At 46.1% G+C, this 22,877-nt stretch overlaps 1 protein-coding gene and 1 pseudogene across 3 annotated transcripts; one reads left to right on the forward strand and one right to left on the reverse strand.

Moving 5' to 3' along the window:
* LOC101060049 (ornithine aminotransferase, mitochondrial-like) lies at positions 224 to 4,026 on the reverse strand (annotated as a pseudogene).
* SSX4 (SSX family member 4) lies at positions 4,412 to 14,220 on the forward strand. 3 transcript variants are annotated; one of them, NM_005636.4, is made up of 8 exons: positions 4,412 to 4,437; positions 4,907 to 4,995; positions 5,434 to 5,548; positions 6,225 to 6,320; positions 8,184 to 8,233; positions 10,219 to 10,354; positions 12,742 to 12,846; positions 13,629 to 14,220. In NM_005636.4, exons 2-7 carry the CDS (start codon positions 4,927 to 4,929, stop codon positions 12,840 to 12,842), a joined length of 567 nt encoding a protein of 188 aa, NP_005627.1. In that variant the 5' UTR covers positions 4,412 to 4,437; positions 4,907 to 4,926; the 3' UTR covers positions 12,843 to 12,846; positions 13,629 to 14,220. The 3 variants fall into 3 exon arrangements, with proteins under 3 accessions (NP_005627.1, NP_783856.1, XP_016885248.1); NM_175729.2 differs by lacking the exon at positions 10,219 to 10,354; XM_017029759.2 differs by lacking the exon at positions 13,629 to 14,220 and having other exon boundaries at positions 4,412 to 4,579; positions 12,742 to 12,842.
* Positions 14,221 to 22,877: the final 8,657 nt, after the last annotated feature.

Genomic DNA, 22,877 nt, shown 5'->3' on the forward strand with positions numbered 1-22,877 from the left:
AAGCTATTCTCCTGTCTCTGCCTCCCATGTAGCTGGGATTACAGGTGCGTGCCACCATGCCTGGTAAGTTTTGTATTTTTAGTAGAGACGGGGTTTCTCCTTGTTAGCCAGGCTGGTCTCAAACTCCTGACCTGAAGTGATCCACCCACCTCGGGCTCCCAAAGTGCTGGGATTACAGGCGTGAACCACCGCACCTGGCCATGATCTGTATCTTATTTTTTTCTGAAATATAAGCTTTATTTAAAATTTAAAAAATTATTAAAAATAAACATTCTTTGGCCAGGCGCAGTGGTGGCTCATGCCTGTAATCCCAGCACTTTGGGAGCCCGAGGCGGGTGGATCACGAGGCCAGGAGATCGAGACCACGGTGAAACCCCGTCTCTGCTAAAAATAAATAAAAAAATAAAAATAAAAATAAAAAATAAACAAACATTTTTCTACAAATTTTAATCAAGCACTCAAAGCAATTCAGGAATGTTAAACACTAATTCTTAATTGAAAATAATGACATCCATAGAATACATCCTGGTGTTAGCCAACATGAAGTTTACTTAATATTAGTATTTTATATATGCTTAACCATTCATCCTTCCTAAAATTCAATGATAACAATGATTTGACTTTATAAGGTGAAGCCATTTATGTAATACCCCAGAGATAACATTTTCAAATACAAAACATTTATACTAGCATGGAAATTATAAAAACATATATAAATTATACTGAAGGATGTGATTTAAAGGCTGTCAATACACATAGATGCATTTTACCTTAGAAAGTACACATGCACATCAAAACATTCATTGAATATAGATGCCATTAAATTCTCTTACTTACGTTACAAAGCAACGGGCAGGTTCATAAACGTTGTTCTAGTATGTATCAACTGCAAAAAACATATATTCCACGAAAAGGTTTTGAAGACACATGGGAGTGGAATGTGCCCACATTTAGAGCAGAGCTTTTACAGGACCACCTGTCTCCAGCCGGCTCCCAGGGACCACTGAAAACGGCTGCTACACTCAGAACGACAAGATGGTCTTGTTAATGATAACAATTGACCCTGGAATCTCATCCTCCTTGACCACCAGCAGAGGTGAAACCTGATGATGTCGCCATGGGTTGGCTTGGCCAGAAGTCCATTATCTCGAAGTCTTAGACACACACTTTCCAAGCAGCACAATCTTTGGTTTCTTTAATAACAATAGCATTTAATAATTCTTTTCCACACCGGGTGTGGTGGCTCACACCTGTAATCCCAACACTTTGGGGGGCCAAGGTGGGTGGATCACCTGAGGTCAGCAGTTCGAGACCGGCCTGGCCAACGTGGTGAAACCCCGTCTCTACTAAAAATACAAAAGTTAGCTGGGCATAGTGGTGCGTGCCTGTAATCCCAGCTACTCGGGAGGCTGAGGCAGGAGAATCACTTGAACCCAGGAGGCAGAGGTTGCAGTGAGCCAAGATCGCACCATTGCAATCCAGCCTGGGCAACCAGAGTGAACCTGTGACTTAAGCAAATAAATACATAAATAAAATAATTATTTTCTTCTTACAACAGTTACAACATCAGAAGGTAGCTTCATGGGTTCATTTCTCAGGAGAATACCCATTGTTTCTGCATTTTCAGCAAGGTTTTCTTCTTCTAAAACTTCAAGGGCTGCGATGGCCACTTGGCAGCCTAGTGGATTGCCACCGTATGTGGACCCACGTTCCCCTGGCTTAATGGTCAGCATTATGTTATCATTCCACAGCACCGCAGACACAGAGTATCAGCCCCCAGAAAGGGCCTTTCCAAGGAGGACTATATCAGGTCTGACATTTTCATGATCAACAGCCAGCCATCTACCAGTTCTGGCCACTCCTGTCTGTATTTCATCAACAATAAACAGAACCAAGCTGGGAGCACGAGATGGGACGAGGGTAAGTTAAAATACCACAAAGCTTACTGTTCTTACGGAGACTCAGCTGGTTCTTTTCTTTCTTTCTTTCTTTCTTTCTTTCTTTCTTTCTTTCTTTCTTTCTTTCTTTCCTTCCTTCCTTCCTTCCTTCCTTCTTTCCTTCCTTCCTTCCTCCCTCCCTCCCTTCTTCCCTTCCCTTCCTTCTTCCCTTTCCTTCCCTTCCTTCTTCTCTTCCCTTCTTCCCTTCCCATCTTCCCTTCCTGTCTTCCCTTCCCATCTTCCCTTCCCTTTCTTCCCTTCCTTCTTCCCTTCCGTTCTCCCTTCCCTTCCTTTTCCTTCTCCTTTCGCTTCCCTTCTCCCTTCCCTTCCCTTCCCTTCCCTTCCCTTCCTTTCCCTTCCCTTCCCTTCCCTTCCCTTCCCTTCTCCTTTCCCTTCCCTTCCCTTCCCTTCCCTTCCCTTCCCTTCTCCTTTCCCTTCCCTTCTCCCTTCCCTTCTCCCATCCCTTCTCCCTTCCCTTCCTTTTCTTTTCGACAGTTTTTCTCTGTCACCCAGGCTGGAGTGCAGTGGTGGGATCTCAGCTCAATGCAACCTCCCCTTCCCGGGTTCAAATCATTGAGTGAACCCAGGAGGTTGAGACCAGCCTGGGAAACATAGCAAAAGGCAGGGTGGTGCAGGCCTGCAGTCCCGAGGCCGAGGCAGGAGGATCACTTGAACCCAGGAGGTAGAGACCAGCCTGGACAACATAGCGAAACTGTCTCTACTAGAAAAATTAAAGATATTAGTGGGGGCTGGGTGGTGTGTGCCAGTGGTCCCGAGGCCGAGGCAGGAGGATTGCTTGAGCCCAGGAGGTCAAGGCCAGCCTGGCCAACATAGTGAAACCCCATTTCTACTAATAAGAAGAACAACCAAAAATAGCATGGGCGGGGTGGCTCACCCCTGTAGTTCCCAGGCTGAGGTGGGAGGATTGCTTGAGCCCAGAAGGTCGATACCAGCCTGGTCAACATAGCGAAAGCCTGTCTCTCCTAAAAAAAATTATCAGGGCAGAATGGCACACGCCTATGGTCCCGAGGCTGAGGTGGAAGCATTGCTTGAGCCCAGGAGGTTGAGGCCAGTCTGTGCAACATAGCAAAACCCGGTTTCTACTGAAAAACAAAAAAAATACCGTGGGCAGGGTGGTGCATGCCTGTGGTCCCCAGGCTGAGGAGGTGGGAGGATCCCTTGAGCCCTGGAGGTTGAGGCCAGCCTGGCCTACATAGAGAAACCCAGTTTCAACTAAAAAATAATAATAATAATAACAAAAACAAACCTGGGCAGGGTGGTGCATGCCTGTAGTCCCGAGAATGAGATGGGAGGATTGACCAAGGCGGATGTAACCAATACCACAATCACATCCCATAAGTAAATACATTTTCCTCTCTCCAGGGCTACAGGTAAAGGATGGTAATTGTGCGCACCACACTTACATTCCCTTCCAAAAATGCGGCACTATTCACAATAGCAAAGACTTGGAACCAACCCAAATGTCCAACAATGATAGACTGGATTAAGAAAATGTGGCACATATACACCATGGAATACTATGCAGCCATAAAAATTGATGAGTTCATGTCCTTTGTAGGGACATGGATGAAATTGGAAATCATCATTCTCAGTAAACTATCGCAAGAACAAAAAACCAAACACCGCATATTCTCACTCATAGGTGGGAATTGAACAATGAGATCACATGGACACAGGAAGGGGAACATCACACTCTGGGGACTGTTGTGGGGTGGGGGGAGGGGGGAGGGATAGCATTGGGAGATATACCCAATGCTAGATGACGAGTTAGTGGGTGCAGCGCACCAGCGTGGCACATGTATACATATGTAACTAACCTGCACAATGTGCACATGTACCCTAAAACTTAAAGTATAATAATAAAAGAAAAAAAAAAGAAAACTACAAAAAAAAAAAAAAAAGAAAAAAAAATAAGAATAAAAGAGGTTGGAGGGCCTTGGACTGTTTTTTTAGTTCCAACAGATGTAGAAGCCACTGAAGAATGAACTCCACGACTAAGTACAGCAAACCTCCGCAAATGTGCTAGTTTGGAAAACATTGTGTCTTTCAAATAGAAAAATCACAGATCGACTATTTTTTCTTCCCACGGTTCAGACTAGAATCCAGATGTTTAACCCAAGATCCAGGGACGGTCTTCAGAGAGTTCAAAATCTCCTGATGGCGCCTGAGGACCACCCACTTTGTCGCACAAAGTGTGGCTGGAGGAGGCGACAACATTCTGCAATGTCACTGCCCAAGGATGATGGACCAATCAGGGCAGTTAGTGAACTCCATCTGGCCAATTAGAAGTCAGAACAGTAGGCGGAACAAGCGAAGCTGATGTGGCGTCTGTCAGTCCAGGCTCTAGGGACAGAACCTTCCCAAGGCGGGGGGGAGGGGAGACTCTGATTTTCCCGCCGAAAGCGTCCCCTTGGATTGGCTACTTTAAATTCAGAGTACGCACACGCCGATTTGCCCTTTTGATTCTTCCACAATCAGGGTAAGCATGCGCTGATTTTCTCTTTCCATTCTTCCTACCCCTCCCCTCCGCCGTGGTGCACTTCTTATCTAATTTTAATAATGTATTTATGTGAGGCAGGTCGCCATCTCAAATTCTTCCTGTCAGTTTCTAACTTTTTCAGGTATGGGATTTTTCCTAGGAGCTCTGTAGTAACTTAAAAAATCTGGGCTGGGCGTGGTGGCTCACGCTTGTAATCCCAGCACTTTGGAGGCCCACAGGTGGTGGATCGCTTGAACCCGGGAGGCGGAGGTTGCAGTGAGCCACGATCGCGCCACTGCAACACAGCCTGGGCAACAGAGCGAGACCCTGTCTCAAAAAAAAAAAAAAAAAAAAACTCCTGGGCTCAAGCGATCCTCTCGCCTCGGCCCCGGGACTACAGGCGTGCACCACCCCGCCCAGAGCACCAAAGGTCCTGAGGCTGGAAAGACTCAGGCTGTTTCTCTCGCAGGTGAGACTGCTCCCAGTGCCATGAACGGAGACGACGCCTTTGCAAGGAGACCCAGGGATGATGCTCAAATATCAGAGAAGTTACGAAAGGTGAGGTGACCTGGAGGGGGCAGAGTAGTGGCCCAGGGGACAGTGTGGGGTGACCAGGTTTCTGAGGAGGGGAGGACAGAGGTACTAGGGACAAGGAGCAGGGTCTCGGGGGAGATTTGGACCCTTGGGAGCCTCCCACCCTCGCTCTGTCATCACCTAGCATCCCTGGAGACAAGTCTCTGACCTTGCACTTCATTTGGTGACTCCCACTCCATTCTGGAAGGTGGGAAGAGAGCCAGCCAGCAGCATTAAAGCCCTACTGTGTGGCAGGGGCGAAGCTAGGGAAGTTCCCTCATGTTCTGTCAGTTAGCCATGGCATCAACCAGGACAGACTATCATCCCCACTTCTCAGATCCCACACACAGGAAGCGGCTCCAGCTGAATGGCAGACATGCCTAGCTGAGTCCCTGCCATAATTCCTTTTTTTTTTTTTTCCAGGCCTTCGATGATATTGCCAAATACTTCTCTAAGAAAGAGTGGGAAAAGATGAAATCCTCGGAGAAAATCGTCTATGTGTATATGAAGCTAAACTATGAGGTCATGACTAAACTAGGTAACAGAAAGTTCTAGAAGCAGACAAGTCTGGGGACACATGAGCATCCCTTTTCCTGTTTTGGCTACTTCTTAGGCTGCAGAAAGTACCCCACATTTTCCTTTTGTGCAGGGAAAAATCACAAGGCAGCTTCTGGGTGTTCTCCTCTTCTGTATCCTGTCAGGGCTGAGGGCAGGGACTGGCCACAGTGGAGCTCATACCTGGATCCTGCACGTTTCTCTCCCATAGGCGTCTTTTCTGATGAGCCCAACTGTCTCTGTGGCATCCCGGCACCCCCACACCCAACACGCACACCCTCCCTTCCTTCTCTTGGCTTGTCTCTCTCTCTCTCTCTCTCTTTTTTTTTTTTTAAGTCAGAGTCTCACTCTGTCACCTAGGGAAGAGTGCAGTAGTGCAAGCATAGCTCACTGCAGCCTCGAACTCCTGGGCTCTAGCAATCCTCCTGCCCAGCCTATGGAGTAGCTGAGGCTACAGGCACGTGCCACTATGCCCAACTAATTTTATTTTATATTTTGTAGATATGTGGGTCTCTCTATGTTGCCCAGGCTAGTGTTGAGCGCCTCACCTCAAGCAATCCTCCAGCCTCAGCCTCCCAAAGGGCTGGTACTACAGACATGAGCCACCGTGCCAGGCCCAAGCTTGCCTCTTAAGAAATAAACATTTTGCTCCTTTCTAGGTTTCAAGGTCACCCTCCCACCTTTCATGCGTAGTAAACGGGCTGCAGACTTCCACGGGAATGATTTTGGTAACGATCGAAACCACAGGAATCAGGGTGAGTAGACTGGAAGGGGCTGGAAAGGGTCTCCTCAAGCCCAGTTGCTTTTCAGCTCAGCTACCTGGGAAAGATCCTCAGGCATTTGTTCCCTCATACACATCGGGGCTGAGTGAAAAAAAAAAATTGCATGCAGAAAGTTAACTACAGAGGCCAATCACATAAAATTCTAAAACATGCAAAACAAGAAAATATATTTTTATGGATAATAAGTAAATGGTAAATGTATACAAACATGAATGTGAATAAAACGCCATCAAATTAAGGTGACTGGCTGTAAGTGGAGGAGGGAGGGAGGGCAGGGATTGCTGAGTGCGGCACAGACAGCTTCAGCTGTGACTTGCTGATAGTGTGTTTTGTGTTTTTTGTTATTGTTATTTTTTTTTGAGACAGAATTTCACTCTTGTCACCCAGCCTGGAGTGCAATAGCAAAATCTGAGCTCACTGCAACTTGCACCTCCCAGGTTCAAGCGATTCTCCTGCCTCAGCCTCCCGAGTAGCTGGGATTACAGGCGCTCGCCTCCACACCCAGGTAATTTTTGTATTTTTGGTAGAGACGGGGTTTCACCATGTTGGCCAGTCTGGCCTCAAACTACCTGACCTCAGGTGATCCACTCGCCTCAGCCTCCCAAAATGCTGGGATTACAGGCGTGAGCTACCACTCCTGGACTGTTTATACTATTGCTAATATTCTGAATAAATAAATCAGATCTAAGATAACTGTGGGGTAATGTTGAGACCCGACTGTACTCAGTTTTGTTCCCCATACTTTTCTGTGTTTTTGAAATATTTCTTTTTTAAATGACATGTTGTTCTTCCTAAGCACTGTTAATGAATCAAAGGACATTTAAGAAAATGTGAAAAGTGAAAAAATAAAAAAAAAGAAAATGTTAAAACTGTAGATCCGCCAAAAACTTCCAGAGTTTGTTTCATTAACAGCATGTAGGTATTGGATAAGTATCTTAGGAGTGAGGGTGATGAACACATTATGTAATAAGCGTCGCTGTTTCTCTGTATTTTATCAAAACCAAATAGTCCTCACATTCCCCAACAACCCCAATTCTCCGTGATGAGCTTGGAAGAGAGTTTGAAAGAGTGATCCCTCATCCAGCACACAGAGAGCTTTCCCACTTCTCAGTGAGCAGAGATAACATAGGGTGAAAAAAAGACAAGTTTCGCGTAGAGATCTTTGTGCATTTCAGGAATATAAAGGGGACATATGTGTTTACTTGCTCTTCTGCTCTGAGAACACAGTTACAAGACAAGGTCAGAATGTCCAGACTGTCTCCCATAGACCTATTACTTCCCAACTAAACAGGCCAGATTCTACGATCTCCCACAGTCACTATAAGAGGTCTGAAAATCCAGTGCTTGAGTATCTGCCAAGTTTTTGACATTAAATGAGTGCCAAATATTTATACTGAAAATATTTCAGAGCCACTGGACTAAATCATCGATGGTTCATCACACAGTTAACAGCTTAATTGACATACCATAAGATTCACCCATTTGAAGTGTACAGTGATTTTTAGTTGTTGCACATCTTGAGTGATTACAGTTTAGATTCCCAACCAATCAATTTAACTATTTGGGAAAAAGTAAAAGATATGTAATGGAAAAAGATGAGACTGTGATGGGGTTTAATACCCATGTGATAAACCACGAGATGGAAAATTCTGAATTGATGCCACAGATAAATGCACCAACCATGACTAAACATAATTCAGAAGCAAATCTCAAATAACTCCTCAACAATGAGTGGACTCACAACCTCTGCTGCAGAATGCCCTCATGCGACAGAAGTCTCTCTAGAGTTTGGAAATCTTTACCAACAAAGAAAAATTCTGATGTATTCTCTTTCAGTTGAACGTCCTCAGATGACTTTCGGCAGCCTCCAGAGAATCTTCCCGAAGGTGAGTGTCTCTCAAATCTAAAGGACCAGAGAACGTTTGTCCCTGCACGGATGCGAACACTGATAAGAGTGGGAGAATATCAAACATGCCCTCACTGCCTCCTTCTCCCCATGTCTATCACAACAACTTATGTGGCACCGACGGCTTGCTAATATTAACAGTTGTGATCCTTAATACTTCTTTGGTTTTCATAGTGATGCCAGATTACTATTTTAAGCAGTTCACATGGGTTAATTTATTTAATCCTTAAGAAGACCTCTATGACGATGTTTCTATTACTATCTCCAAATACTATCGAGCCACACACTTCAATTGTCACCCATATAAAAGACATGTAACTTGGTGCAAATCTTCTAAGTTCTCTGAGATCCAGACTCCTGGTCCATGAAATGGAAGTAAAGAATCATAGTTCATGTTTTAGATCGTAGTTATCAGCAACATAATAATAAAATGAGGCTATCGGGGTACAGAGATGTTAAAGAATTTTCCTGAGGCACAGTGGCAGTGGTAGTCTAATCCAGAGCTCCAAGCCATTTAAAGCTCATTCACGTTTGCATTTGTTTATGAAGTTCAGATGTTGCTCACTAGGGCTTCACCCCATAGGGCCTCCTGGTGCTTCCATTGAGACACCCACTCTCGCAACAGGAAGGACCAGCTGGCCTCTGCTCTGTTACCGGGGCCACTCACATGGCTTAGGAATCGCTTTGACTGTTGGCCCCTCCCTACTGTGAGCTCCTTGATGGCCTTGTGTGCACCTGGGGCATCCGGGAAGCCCCCGTCCCAGCCCAGGGGATCCCTCGAAGGCCCCTGAATGAGTGATCCCACAACTGCAGATCCAACTCTGGTTTGGAGGGTAAAGGGATCTGGGAGTTGGGTTGCCAGTGTGGAGACCAAATTCAAAGAAGGATCATGAAAAGTATTAGTTTTTTATTATTACTACATTTAAAGAGTGTTTACAAGCTCAGAGAGCACTTTCTTGTAGCCTATTTTACATGTACTGTTGACTATTTCGTAAGTGAGGAAGCTGAATAAAAAGTAGCTTAAGGGCTGGGCGCAGTGTCTCACGACTGTAATCCCAGCACTTTGGGAGGCTGAGGTGGGTGGATCACGAGGTGAAGAGATGGAGACCATCCTGCCCAACATGGTGAAACTTTGTCTCTACTAAAAATAGAAAACTTAACGGTGCGTGTTAGAGCCTACCTGTAGTCCCAGCTACTCTGGAGGCTGAGGCAGGAGAATGGTTGAACCTGGGAGATGGAGGTTACAGTGAGCTGAGATCGCGCCACTGCACTCAAGCCTGGCAACAGAGCAAGACTCCGTGTCAAAAAAAAAAAAAAAAAAGGAAAAAGAAGTAGCTTAAGGTCGTTGGTCAGTGACACATCCCAATGCAACCAGAGTTGGTATGGGTACCACCTCACTTAATTCCACATTCAATGTTGGCGCCTCGGTAGGGTAGTATGCCATGTCTGGTACTGCTTTCTTTGCTGCCTAGTTTAATTTCAGCAAACCATTTCTTTACCTCTCCTGTCCCTGTATTCATCTCCCCACACCATCTTTCCCAGCAGTGTTTTATCGCCTCTCTATGTTTTTACATTTACTCTCCCAGCAGCTGTCTACAAGCTTATATGGGATCCCTTGTATTTTATAGAAGCTCTTTCTTTTCTAGACCTTGTGAATTCTTAGAATGCTATTCTCCAAATCTTCTGTATACCAAACTCTCAATTAAATGGAGATTTTTGCTGTTTGCAAGAATGTGAGTCTTAAAAGAGTGTGAAGATAAGCATTCTAGCCCTGGAAAGCCCATTCGTTTAGGCCATTCCTTTCCCTTCTAACCTCCCAGGTTTCTCCTAATTTAGGCCTGTGTAACTCTCCCAGTCTTGTTGAGAGCATTGAATAAGCTAATGCACGTGAAGACCCTTTGTAAGCTCTAAAGCACTGTAGAAATGTCACTGATACTGTTTATCTGCGACCTTCACATTGTAAAGATCATGCCCAAGAAGCCAGCAGAGGAAGAAAATGGTTTGAAGGAAGTGCCAGAGGCATCTGGCCCACAAAATGATGGGAAACAGCTGTGCCCCCCGGGAAATCCAAGTACCTTGGAGAAGATTAACAAGACATCTGGTAAGAGGAAAGAATTCGGGAACAACCCCTCTGGCTTCCCTGGCTGTGTTCAGGTGCGTGGACTGGGTGTGTGGCATGGACCCCAGACAAGCCAGGGTCCAGGCTGGGCTGAGGAGCTCGCCTAGCTCCAGATGAGATGTTAGACATGACTTCCAGAGACACAGACTGGAGTTGTCATCCATATAAAAAAAACCACGTGACGTGGGGAAAGTCTTCCAAATTTCCTCAGCTCCAGGTTCCTAGTCCATAAGATGGAAATAAAGAATCATAGTTCATAAATTGTTTGGAGACATTAAATGTAATCTAGAAGGCCTGATGACATGAAAGGTGCTCAAGCAATTCTATCTGTGATAACCTGGGATCATATCTTACTCAGCTCAATGCCTGTTACCCAATACAGGTGTGCTTCAGAGATATTGCAGGTTCGGTTCCAGACCACTGCAATAAAGTGAGTCACACACATTTTTTTTTTGTCTTGCAGTGCATAAAAACATTACATTTACATTATACTGCAGTCTACTAAGTGTGCAATAGCATTAAGTCTGAAAATGCACATACCTTTATTTTAAAATAATTCATCGATAAAAAATGCTAACAATCTTCTGAGCCTTCAGTGAGTCACACTCTTTTTGCTGGTGGAGGGTCTTGCCTCGGTGTTGATGGCTGCTGGCTGATCAAGGTGGTGGTTGCTGAAGATTGGAGTGGCTGTGGCAGTTTCTTAAAAGATGACAACAATGAAATTTGCCACATCAATTAGCTCTCCCTTTCATGAAGGATTTCTCTGTAGTATGTGATGCTATTGGATAGCATTTTACCCACAGTAGAACTTCTTTCAAAGTTGGAGTCAATCCTCTCTAGCTATGAAAGTCCTAGATGGCATCTCCTTCCAATAGAAGGCTATTTTATCTACATTGAAAATCTGTTGTTTCGTGTAGCCACCTTCGTCAGTGACCTTAGCCAGATCTTCTGGATAACTTGCTGCAGCTTCTCCATCAGGGTTTGCTGCTTCGCCTTGCACTTTTATGTTATAGAGACGGCTTCTTTCCTTAAACCTCACGAACCAACCTCTACTAGCTTCACACGTTTCTCCTGCAGCTTCTTCAGCTCTCTCAGCATTCATGGACTTGAAGAGAGTTCTGGTCTTGCTCTGAATTAGACTTTGGCTTAAGGGAATGTTGTGGCTGGTTTCACGTTTTATCCTGACCACTCAAACTTTCTCTATTTGAGCAGTAAGGCAGTTTTGCTTTCTTATTCGTGTGTTCACTGGAGTATTAGTATTATTATTTCCTTCAAGAACTTTTCCTTTGCATTATGTACTATTATTTCCTTCATGAACTTTTCCTTTGCATTCACAGCTTGGCTGTTTGGTGGAAGAGGCCGAGCTTTCAGCCTATCTTGGCTTTCAGCATGCTTCCTCACTAAGCTTAGCCATTTCTAGCTTCTGATTTAAAGTGAGAGACATGCGACTCTTCCTTTCATTTGAACACTTAGCGGCCATTGTAGGGTTCTTAATCGTCCTAATTTCAGTGTTGCTGTGTCTCAGGAAATAGGGAGGCCCAAGAAAAGGAGGAGAGATGGGGAAGAGCTCATCGGTGGAGCAGTCAGAACACACACAACATTAATCGATTAAGTTTGTCATCTTCTATGGGTGCAGTTCATGGTACCCCAAAAACAATTACATACAACAGGATGATTATAGTCAATAATAACTTAATCGTACATTTAAAAAAACTAAAAGAGTGTAAATGAATTGTTTGTAACACAAGGATAAATGTTTGAGGGGATGGATACCCTATTTTCCATGATGTGATTATTACGCATTGCATGCGTGTATCAAAACGTCTCGCGTACCCCATAAGTATATACACCTACTGTGTACCCACTAACATAAAAAACAAAAATTATTTTAAAAGACTAAAGAGCAACAAAACAATTGCAATAATAATGTCAAAGCTCACTAATGACAGATCACTATAACAGATATACTAATAACGGAAAAGTATAAAATTGGTGAGAATTCCCCCCAAAAAATTGCAGTATCTGTGAAGCACTATAAAAATGAGGTACAATAATACAAGGTATGCCTGTGTGCCCTTAACAAATACATGCTGAATGAAAGGAGGTATCGGTGAATGTTCCCGTAAGTGAAGAGGTTGGGAATTTAACCTGACAACGGAAGGAGCCAGAAGCTAAAATTTTAATTTGCATTTGGCCTGTATTGGTGTGGATCTAAGGTCTCAGCCTCTCTAAACCAGGGAATGTGAAAAACTGGATAAAGAAGGTCCGGGGCACTTGGGAGGGGAGAGGCATCTCCTTCTTTTGAGAAAACAGAGCCTAACGCTCTCCAATCTACCCAACCCTCATTTTCCAACTCTTCCCCATCATAGGACCCAAAAGGGGGAAACATGCCTGGACCCACAGACTGCGTGAGAGAAAGCAGCTGGTGGTTTATGAAGAGATCAGCGACCCTGAGGAAGATGACGAGTAACTCCGTAAGTGAACTTTCGGACCACCCTCCACATCCTTGCAGATGTACTATTCTGTTATGGTACTGGTATCCCATCTTATCACTTGTTCCCCAAATCATTCCCTTCTCATAATTTTCTAGGGTACAGCATTGAGGCTGAATGATGAGATTTCCCATGCTCTTTCTTTCTATTTTTTTTCCTTTTTGAGAGGGAGTCTTGCTCTGTCGCCCACGCGGGAGTGTAGTGGCGCGATCTTGGCTCACTGCAACTTGTGCCTCTCAGGTTCAAGCAATTCTCCTGCCTCAGCCTCCTGAGTAGCTGGGATTACAGGTGCACACCACCACACCAGGGTAATTTTTGCATTTTTAGTAGAGACGGGGTTTCACCATGTTGGTCAGGCTGGACTTGAACTCCTGACCTCGTGATCCACCTGCCTCGGCCTCCCAAAGTGCTGGGTTTACAGGCATGAGCCACCATGCCCGGCCAATTTCCCATACTCTTTCTACTCCCTGCCCTGTATATCCAAGGTTGCTCCCTACCCAGGATGCTGTGGGTTCCCAAACCCCAGGTCAGCCCTGATATGCGGGCCACACCTTCCTCTAGCCTAGGAATTGAAAACCCAGGCGAAGAAGTCACTGTGGCATGAACAGATGGTTCACTTCGAGGAACCGTGGAAGGCGTGTGCAGGTCCTGAGGTAGGGCAGAATCACAGTGTGCAGGGTCTGCAGGTCAGGAGGAGTTGAGATTGAGTTGTCACGTGGTGGGAACTCACTGCCACTTACTTTCCTTCTCTCTTCTTGCCTCAGCCTCGGGGATATGACACATGCCCATGATGAGAAGCAGAACGTGGTGACCTTTCACGAACATGGGCATGGCTGCGGACCCCTCGTCATCAGGTGCATAGCAAGTGAAAGCAAGTGTTCACAACAGTGAAAAGTTGAGCGTCATTTTTCTTAGTGTGCCAAGAGTTCGATGTTGGCGTTTCCGCTGTATTTTCTTGCAGTGTGCCATTCTGTTAGACATTAGCGTTTTCGTTGATGAGCAAGACATGCTTAATGCATATTTCGGCTTGTGTATCCATGCACCTACCTCAGAAAACAAGTATTGTCAGGTATTCTCTCCATAGAACAGCACTACCCTCCTCTCTCCCCAGATGTGACTACTGAGGGGAGGTCTGAGTGTTTAATTTCCGATTTTTTCCTCTGCATTTACACACACACCACACACGCACACACACACACCAAGTACCAGTATAAGCATCTCCCATCTGCTTTTCTCCATTGCCATGCGACCTGGTCAAGCCCCCCTCACTCTGTTTCCTGTTCAGCATGTACTCCCCTCATCCGATTCCGTTGTATCAGTCACTGACAGTTAATAAACCTTTGCAAACGTTCCCCAGTTGTTTGCATCTCTCATTATTGTGCACACAGCTCTGTGCACGTGTGTGAATATTTCTTTAGGAAAGATTCTTAGAAGTGGAATTGATGTGTCAAAGGAGTCATTTATTCAACAAAAAACTAATGAGTGTGTACTAGTGCTGAGAACTGTTCGAGGTGCTGGAGAGACATCAGGGAACAAGGCAGACAGATGTTCCTGACCACCATTCTAGAGGAAGATATTTCCAGTCGTTGGTATTGTTTGTTTGTTTGTTTCTTCTAGAGATGGGGTCTTGCTCTGTCCAGGCTAGAGTGCAGTGGCACGATCATAGCTTAATGCAGCCCTGAACTTGTGGGCTCAAGGGATCCTCCCACCTCAGCCTCCAGAGAAGCTGTGACTACAGCCACGCACCATCATGACCCACTGATTTTTTTAGGTTTTGTCAAGAAAGTCTCGCTATATTACCCAGGCTGGTCTCCAACTCCTGGGCCCAAGCAATCCTCCCACCTTGGCCTCCTAAAGTGCTGGGATTACAGGAGTGGGCCACTGCGCCTGGCCTCCAGTTTTTATTTTGATAGAGACTATACACTTCAGTCCTGGAGCAGGATTCTGCAGCAGGTGGTTGGGCATCTGGGCCTTTGCTCTCTGAATGATTTTCAAGTTCAAGGGCTGGGACGGTCCATTTGGGAGTATGTGGAAGGAGACACAGATGAAATCGTCATCTGGGGAACGTGGAGGAATGAGGAAGATGCGTGCACTGTAGACCGTGATGGACAGGGAATAGAAGAGTCCACTCAGTCTCCATGCAGGGGAGCAACGGTGGGAAAGTCCCCTGGACAGAAGCATGAGACTGCCCATCAAGGGTCTCACCAACCAAGGGCCTGGGGGCTGGGGTGGGGACGATGATTTCGGAAGGGGCCAGTTCTTTCTCACATGTACCATTGCACAGTGTGGAGGGGAAACAGGTCTGCGGAAGGGGAGCGCAGATGGGAGTCTATTTTCGAACCAACCATTGTGTGTGAATGGAGACATCAAGTCCTCCCGGTTCTCCCCAGCCTTGGAAGGAGGACACTATCATCTTTATGCCTATATGTTAGATGAGAGACGGAGTCCCAGCCAGATGGCAGGCGTCTTGTCTGAGGTCCCACAGCTGGCAGGTGCAGGAGGGGCTGAGTTTGGAGCTCACTGACTTCAGAAACATTAAGGAGGACAGGTGTGTGTGGTGGAGGGAGGGGGAATTGAACAAGCCCCGGGCTCTGTCCCCAGTCACAAGGTAGAGGCTGTGGGTTCGTTTTCCAAGACAAGGAGCCCTAGGAGAGAGAGAGTGCGGGGAGGGAGAGGCAGTCGTGATCACAGCAGGGACAGTGGGAGACAGAGATATGCAGGGTGGGCAGAAGAGGGGCAGGCAAAGAAGCAGGGGAGACCCAAGGCCAAGTGGGGGCTGCCACAGCCACCAGAGGGAGAGGGTGCCTGGAAGGAGGTTGTGGGGCTCCAGGAGCAGTAGAGGTTCCCCAGATCTGTGAGCATGCCCTGCCTGGCACTGCAGGAAGAGGTGGCTGCCACCCAGGTCAGTGTGGACGTACCTCTACCTGTGTCTCAGGGGAAACAAATTCTATTTTATCCCAGTATAGTTCTGTATTACACAAATGTAACATTCGGCTACTAGATATTGAGTGCCTTATCCTCCATGCAAATACAGCAGAGGATACCCTAAAAGAGATACTGAAGCTTTTGATTTTTCTTTCTCCCTGGGATGATGGGATCCATAAGTTGGGTCCCCCAGCCCACAAGACAGGTGCAAGGAAGGGTGGTTGGAAGATTGTGAGTTATGACAGGGAACATTATTTCTTAGGTTCCTTGGGTATATAAAGCTCCGGACTATCTGTCTATCATGGATAAAGAGTGAACATGGTCCCCTCTCCACAAATGTGTTTTTCTCCTCGATTATCACTGTAAAGGGCTGAAGTTACACCAAGTTCTGATACATTACTTTTTCGTGTTATTTTTGAGACAGGATCACAGTCTGTCGCCCAGGCTGGAGTGCAGTGATGCAATTACAGCTCACTGCAGCCTCGATCTCCCAGGCTTAAGGGATTCACCCACTTCAGCTTCCGATCTAGCTGGGACTACAGGCACACGCCACCGCACCCAGCTAGTTTTTGTATTTTTTTGTAGAGACGGCATCCACTATGTTGCCCAGGCTGGTCTCGATCTCCTGGCCTCAGGCAATCCTCCTGCCTCAGCCTCCCAAAGTGCTGGGATGACAAGTGTGAGCCACCTCGCCAGGCCTTCACTTTCTTTAATGAACAATTATCAGAGTTTCATCTTAGAGGCAAAAGTGGCTACTGCCAGCCAATCTGTCTGTGGTGTTGGAGGGGAATCTGGCTGATTCAGACGTTTCAGATGAACTTTTAAATTAACCTACATGATGATTATCCTAAGGCCGTTTCCTCCTCCGTGTTTTTCTGATTCAGGGTTTGGAGTTTTTCAGAGGCTTTGTTACAAAGAGCATCTCCTGGTCGGGCACAGTGACTCACGCTGTAGTGCCAGCACTTTGGGAGGCCGAGGCAGGCAGATCACTTGATGTCAGGAGTTTGAGACCAGCCTGGCCAACAGGGTGAAACCCCCGTCTCTACTAAAAATACAAAAATTAGCCAGCCGTGGTGGCGGGCTCCTGTGAATTCCAGTTACTGCAGGGGCTGAGGCAGGAGAATCCCTTGAACCTGGGAGACGGAGGGTGCAGTGAGCTGAGATCACGCCACTGCACTCCAGCCTGGGCGACAGAGTAAGTCTCTGTCTCAAAAAACAAACAAACAGCATCTCTCGCCTACAGTGATTTGAGCTGTGGTCTTGTCTCCTTGGGTTTCTCTATCAGTCTGACCCCATCTACTCTATCTCCCAGGAATGCCTCAATATTTCTGGTGGACCGCTGACACGCTTTCCTATTTTCCTCTACTGTTACGAATTGACCCTTGAAAACCTTTTCTTAATTTTTTTAATTTTTTTATTACTATACTTTAAGTTTTAGGGTACATGTGCACAATGTGCAGATTTGTTACATATGTATACATGTTCCATGTTGGTGTTCTGCACCCATTAACTTGTCATTTAGCATTAGGTATATCTCCTAATGCTTTCCCTCCCCCTCCCCCCTCCCCCGTCCCCGCACCCCACAACAGGCCCCGGAGTGTGATGTTCCCCTTCCTGTGTCCATGTGTTCTCATTGTTCAAGTCCCACCTATGAGTGAGAACATGCGGTGTTTGGTTTTTTGTCCTTGCAATAGTTTGCTGAGAATGATGGTTTCCAGTGTCATCCATGTCCCTACAAAGGACATGAGCTCATCATTTTTTATGGCTACATAGTATTCCATGGTGTCTATGTGCCACATTTTCTTAATCCAGTCTATCATTGTTGGACATTTGGGTTGGTTCCAAGTCTTTGCTATTGTGAATAGTGCCGCAATAAACATATGTGTGCATGTGTCTTTATAGCAGCATGATTTATAATCCTTTGGGTATATACCCAGTAATGGGATGGCAGGGTCAAATGGTATTTCTAGTTCTAGATCCCTGAGGAATTGCCACACTGACTTCCACAATGGTTGAACTAGTTTACAGTCCCACCAACAGTGTAAAAGTGTTCCTATTTCTCCACATCCTCTCCAGTACTTGTTGTTTCCTGACATTTTAATGATTGCCATTCTAACTGGTGTGAGATGGTATCTCGTGGTGGTTTTGATTTGCATTTCTCTGATGGCCAGTGATGGTGAGCATTTTTTCATGTGTCTTTTGGCTGCATAAATGTCTTCTTTTGAGAAGTGTCTGTTCATATCTTTCGCCCACTTTTTGATGGGGTTGTTTGTTTTTTTCTTGTAAATTTGTTTGAGTTCATTGTAGATTCTGGATATTAGCCCTTTGTCAGATGAGTAGGTTGTGAAAATTTTCTCCCATTTTGTAGGCTGCCTGTTCACTCTGATGGTAGTTTCCTTTGCTGTGCAGAAGCTCCTTAGTTTAATTAGATCTCATTTGTCAATTTTGGCTTTTGTTGCCATTGCTTTTGGTGTTTTAGTCATGAAGTCCTTGCCCATGCCTATGTCCTGAATGGTATTGCCTAAGTTTTCTTCTAGGGTTTTTATGGTTTTAGGTCTAATGTTGAAGTCTTTAATCCATCTTGAATTAATTTTTGTATAAGGTGTAAGGAAGGGATCCAGTTTCAGCTTTCTACATATGGCTAGCCAGTTTTCCCAGCACCATTTATTAAATAGGGAATCCTTTCCCCATTGCTTGTTTTTGTCAGGTTTGTCAAAGATCAGATGGTTGTAGATATGTGGCATTATTTCTGAGGGCTCTGTTCTGTTCCTTTGATCTATATCTCTGTTTTGGTACCAGTAACAAGCTGTTTTGGTTACTGTAGCCTTGTAGTATAGTTTGAAGTCAGGTAGCGTGATGCCTCCGGCTTTGTTCTTTTGGCTTAGGATTGACTTGGCAATGTGGGCTCTTTTTTGGTTCCATATGAACTTTAAAGTAGTTTTTTCCAATTCTGTGAGGAAAGTCATTGGTAGCTTGATGGGGATGGCATTGAATTACAGAGTAAGGCACCATGCCTGGCCTCTGGTACCACTTTGGGATTGTATGAAACACTATGCTTCAAAGTGTGGGATCTGGCTTCCCAGACAGCTGTCAAAGGGGCAGATGATGCAATCTAGAAGTGTGGGGGAGTTCATGCCTGTGGGGTAAATTTTGACCAATAAGAAAAGGAACCAGGAGTGAGAGTCAGTTACATAAATTGCCTCTCCTCTCCTCTCCCCCTGCACCGTTCCAGGCATGGTTTCTCAGTATAGTCTGCCTAGATGTTTCCTGTATGGCCCAAAGCCTGTTTCCTTGGGAACCTGAGCTAAAACAATGGGCATGCAAACACCCGAAGACAGGGTTAAGTGTTGTGGAGGACCCAGATCTGGGCAGAGGAAAATTATCCCAATAAGGAAATGGACAATTTGAGGATTTGGGATAGGGGGAAGGACTAGAAGAACCAGTAGTAATATAGCTTAGGGGTACTATTTTTGGAGAAAAAGGCAGTTCTGTTGATTTTTGCAGTGAACTGCTTAGCTCTGTAAGATATATACTTCTTTCTTTCCATCAGTCTCTCCTGTGAAATCTTTCATAAAGTATCCTTTTATAGCTATCTATTGCCTGTGATGTGAATTTTCTTTTTTCCTTTTTCTTTTCTTTTTTTTTATTTTTTAGAGTTAGAATTGCTGTCGCCCAGGCTGGAGTGCAGTGGGGTGATCTCGGCTCACTGCAATCTCCACCTCCTGAGTTCAAGTGATCCTCCTGCCTCAGCTGCCCTAGTAGCTAGGACTACAGGCGTGCGCCAACAACGCATGGCTAAATTATTTTTTGTATTTTTAGTAGAGATGGGGTTTCACCATCTTGGCCAGGCTGGTCTCAAACTCCTGACCTCAGGTGTTCCACCCTCCTCAGTCTCCCAAAGTGCGGAATTACAGGCGTGAGCCACCGCACCCAGCCTGTCAGTTTTCTTTTGGAGAATAAAACTGATTGAGTCTTGTGCCAAAATGCAGGGGAGGCTGCACCCAGACAGGTAACAAAATATTATATACAGTAATAGATAGGTTTTCTACATACCAATAATAACCATTTAGAAAACCAAATTGAGAAAAATTACACGTATATAGTGACAAAAGTACATACAATATCTAAAACCAGATGATTGGAGCAAGATGGCAGATAGATCCCGTGCCCTACTCAACATTCCATCGAACTGGGAAGAAAATATTTTCAAGGGTCAATTCGTAACAGTAGAGGAAAATAGGAAAGCGTGTCAGCGGTCCACCAGAAATATTGAGGCATTCCTGGGAGATAGAGTAGATGGGGTCAGACTGATAGAGAAACCCAAGGAGACAAGACCACAGCTCAAATCACTGTAGGCGAGAGATGCTGTTTGTTTGTTTTTTGAGACAGAGACTTACTCTGTCGCCCAGGCTGGAGTGCAGTGGCGTGATCTCAGCTCACTGCACCCTCCGTCTCCCAGGTTCAAGGGATTCTCCTGCCTCAGCCCCTGCAGTAACTGGAATTCACAGGAGCCCGCCACCACGGCTGGCTAATTTTTGTATTTTTAGTAGAGACGGGGGTTTCACCCTGTTGGCCAGGCTGGTCTCAAACTCCTGACATCAAGTGATCTGCCTGCCTCGGCCTCCCAAAGTGCTGGCACTACAGCGTGAGTCACTGTGCCCGACCAGGAGATGCTCTTTGTAACAAAGCCTCTGAAAAACTCCAAACCCTGAATCAGAAAAACACGGAGGAGGAAACGGCCTTAGGATAATCATCATGTAGGTTAATTTAAAAGTTCATCTGAAACGTCTGAATCAGCCAGATTCCCCTCCAACACCACAGACAGATTGGCTGGCAGTAGCCACTTTTGCCTCTAAGATGAAACTCTGATAATTGTTCATTAAAGAAAGTGAAGGCCTGGCGAGGTGGCTCACACTTGTCATCCCAGCACTTTGGGAGGCTGAGGCAGGAGGATTGCCTGAGGCCAGGAGATCGAGACCAGCCTGGGCAACATAGTGGATGCCGTCTCTACAAAAAAATACAAAAACTAGCTGGGTGCGGTGGCGTGTGCCTGTAGTCCCAGCTAGATCGGAAGCTGAAGTGGGTGAATCCCTTAAGCCTGGGAGATCGAGGCTGCAGTGAGCTGTAATTGCATCACTGCACTCCAGCCTGGGCGACAGACTGTGATCCTGTCTCAAAAATAACACGAAAAAGTAATGTATCAGAACTTGGTGTAACTTCAGCCCTTTACAGTGATAATCGAGGAGAAAAACACATTTGTGGAGAGGGGACCATGTTCACTCTTTATCCATGATAGACAGATAGTCCGGAGCTTTATATACCCAAGGAACCTAAGAAATAATGTTCCCTGTCATAACTCACAATCTTCCAACCACCCTTCCTTGCACCTGTCTTGTGGGCTGGGGGACCCAACTTATGGATCCCATCATCCCAGGGAGAAAGAAAAATCAAAAGCTTCAGTATCTCTTTTAGGGTATCCTCTGCTGTATTTGCATGGAGGATAAGGCACTCAATATCTAGTAGCCGAATGTTACATTTGTGTAATACAGAACTATACTGGGATAAAATAGAATTTGTTTCCCCTGAGACACAGGTAGAGGTACGTCCACACTGACCTGGGTGGCAGCCACCTCTTCCTGCAGTGCCAGGCAGGGCATGCTCACAGATCTGGGGAACCTCTACTGCTCCTGGAGCCCCACAACCTCCTTCCAGGCACCCTCTCCCTCTGGTGGCTGTGGCAGCCCCCACTTGGCCTTGGGTCTCCCCTGCTTCTTTGCCTGCCCCTCTTCTGCCCACCCTGCATATCTCTGTCTCCCACTGTCCCTGCTGTGATCACGACTGCCTCTCCCTCCCCGCACTCTCTCTCTCCTAGGGCTCCTTGTCTTGGAAAACGAACCCACAGCCTCTACCTTGTGACTGGGGACAGAGCCCGGGGCTTGTTCAATTCCCCCTCCCTCCACCACACACACCTGTCCTCCTTAATGTTTCTGAAGTCAGTGAGCTCCAAACTCAGCCCCTCCTGCACCTGCCAGCTGTGGGACCTCAGACAAGACGCCTGCCATCTGGCTGGGACTCCGTCTCTCATCTAACATATAGGCATAAAGATGATAGTGTCCTCCTTCCAAGGCTGGGGAGAACCGGGAGGACTTGATGTCTCCATTCACACACAATGGTTGGTTCGAAAATAGACTCCCATCTGCGCTCCCCTTCCGCAGACCTGTTTCCCCTCCACACTGTGCAATGGTACATGTGAGAAAGAACTGGCCCCTTCCGAAATCATCGTCCCCACCCCAGCCCCCAGGCCCTTGGTTGGTGAGACCCTTGATGGGCAGTCTCATGCTTCTGTCCAGGGGACTTTCCCACCGTTGCTCCCCTGCATGGAGACTGAGTGGACTCTTCTATTCCCTGTCCATCACGGTCTACAGTGCACGCATCTTCCTCATTCCTCCACGTTCCCCAGATGACGATTTCATCTGTGTCTCCTTCCACATACTCCCAAATGGACCGTCCCAGCCCTTGAACTTGAAAATCATTCAGAGAGCAAAGGCCCAGATGCCCAACCACCTGCTGCAGAATCCTGCTCCAGGACTGAAGTGTATAGTCTCTATCAAAATAAAAACTGGAGGCCAGGCGCAGTGGCCCACTCCTGTAATCCCAGCACTTTAGGAGGCCAAGGTGGGAGGATTGCTTGGGCCCAGGAGTTGGAGACCAGCCTGGGTAATATAGCGAGACTTTCTTGACAAAACCTAAAAAAATCAGTGGGTCATGATGGTGCGTGGCTGTAGTCACAGCTTCTCTGGAGGCTGAGGTGGGAGGATCCCTTGAGCCCACAAGTTCAGGGCTGCATTAAGCTATGATCGTGCCACTGCACTCTAGCCTGGACAGAGCAAGACCCCATCTCTAGAAGAAACAAACAAACAAACAATACCAACGACTGGAAATATCTTCCTCTAGAATGGTGGTCAGGAACATCTGTCTGCCTTGTTCCCTGATGTCTCTCCAGCACCTCGAACAGTTCTCAGCACTAGTACACACTCATTAGTTTTTTGTTGAATAAATGACTCCTTTGACACATCAATTCCACTTCT

The sequence above is a fragment of the Homo sapiens genome, chromosome X, assembly GCF_000001405.40.
Source record: "Homo sapiens chromosome X, GRCh38.p14 Primary Assembly".
Taxonomy (NCBI): domain Eukaryota; kingdom Metazoa; phylum Chordata; class Mammalia; order Primates; family Hominidae; genus Homo; species Homo sapiens.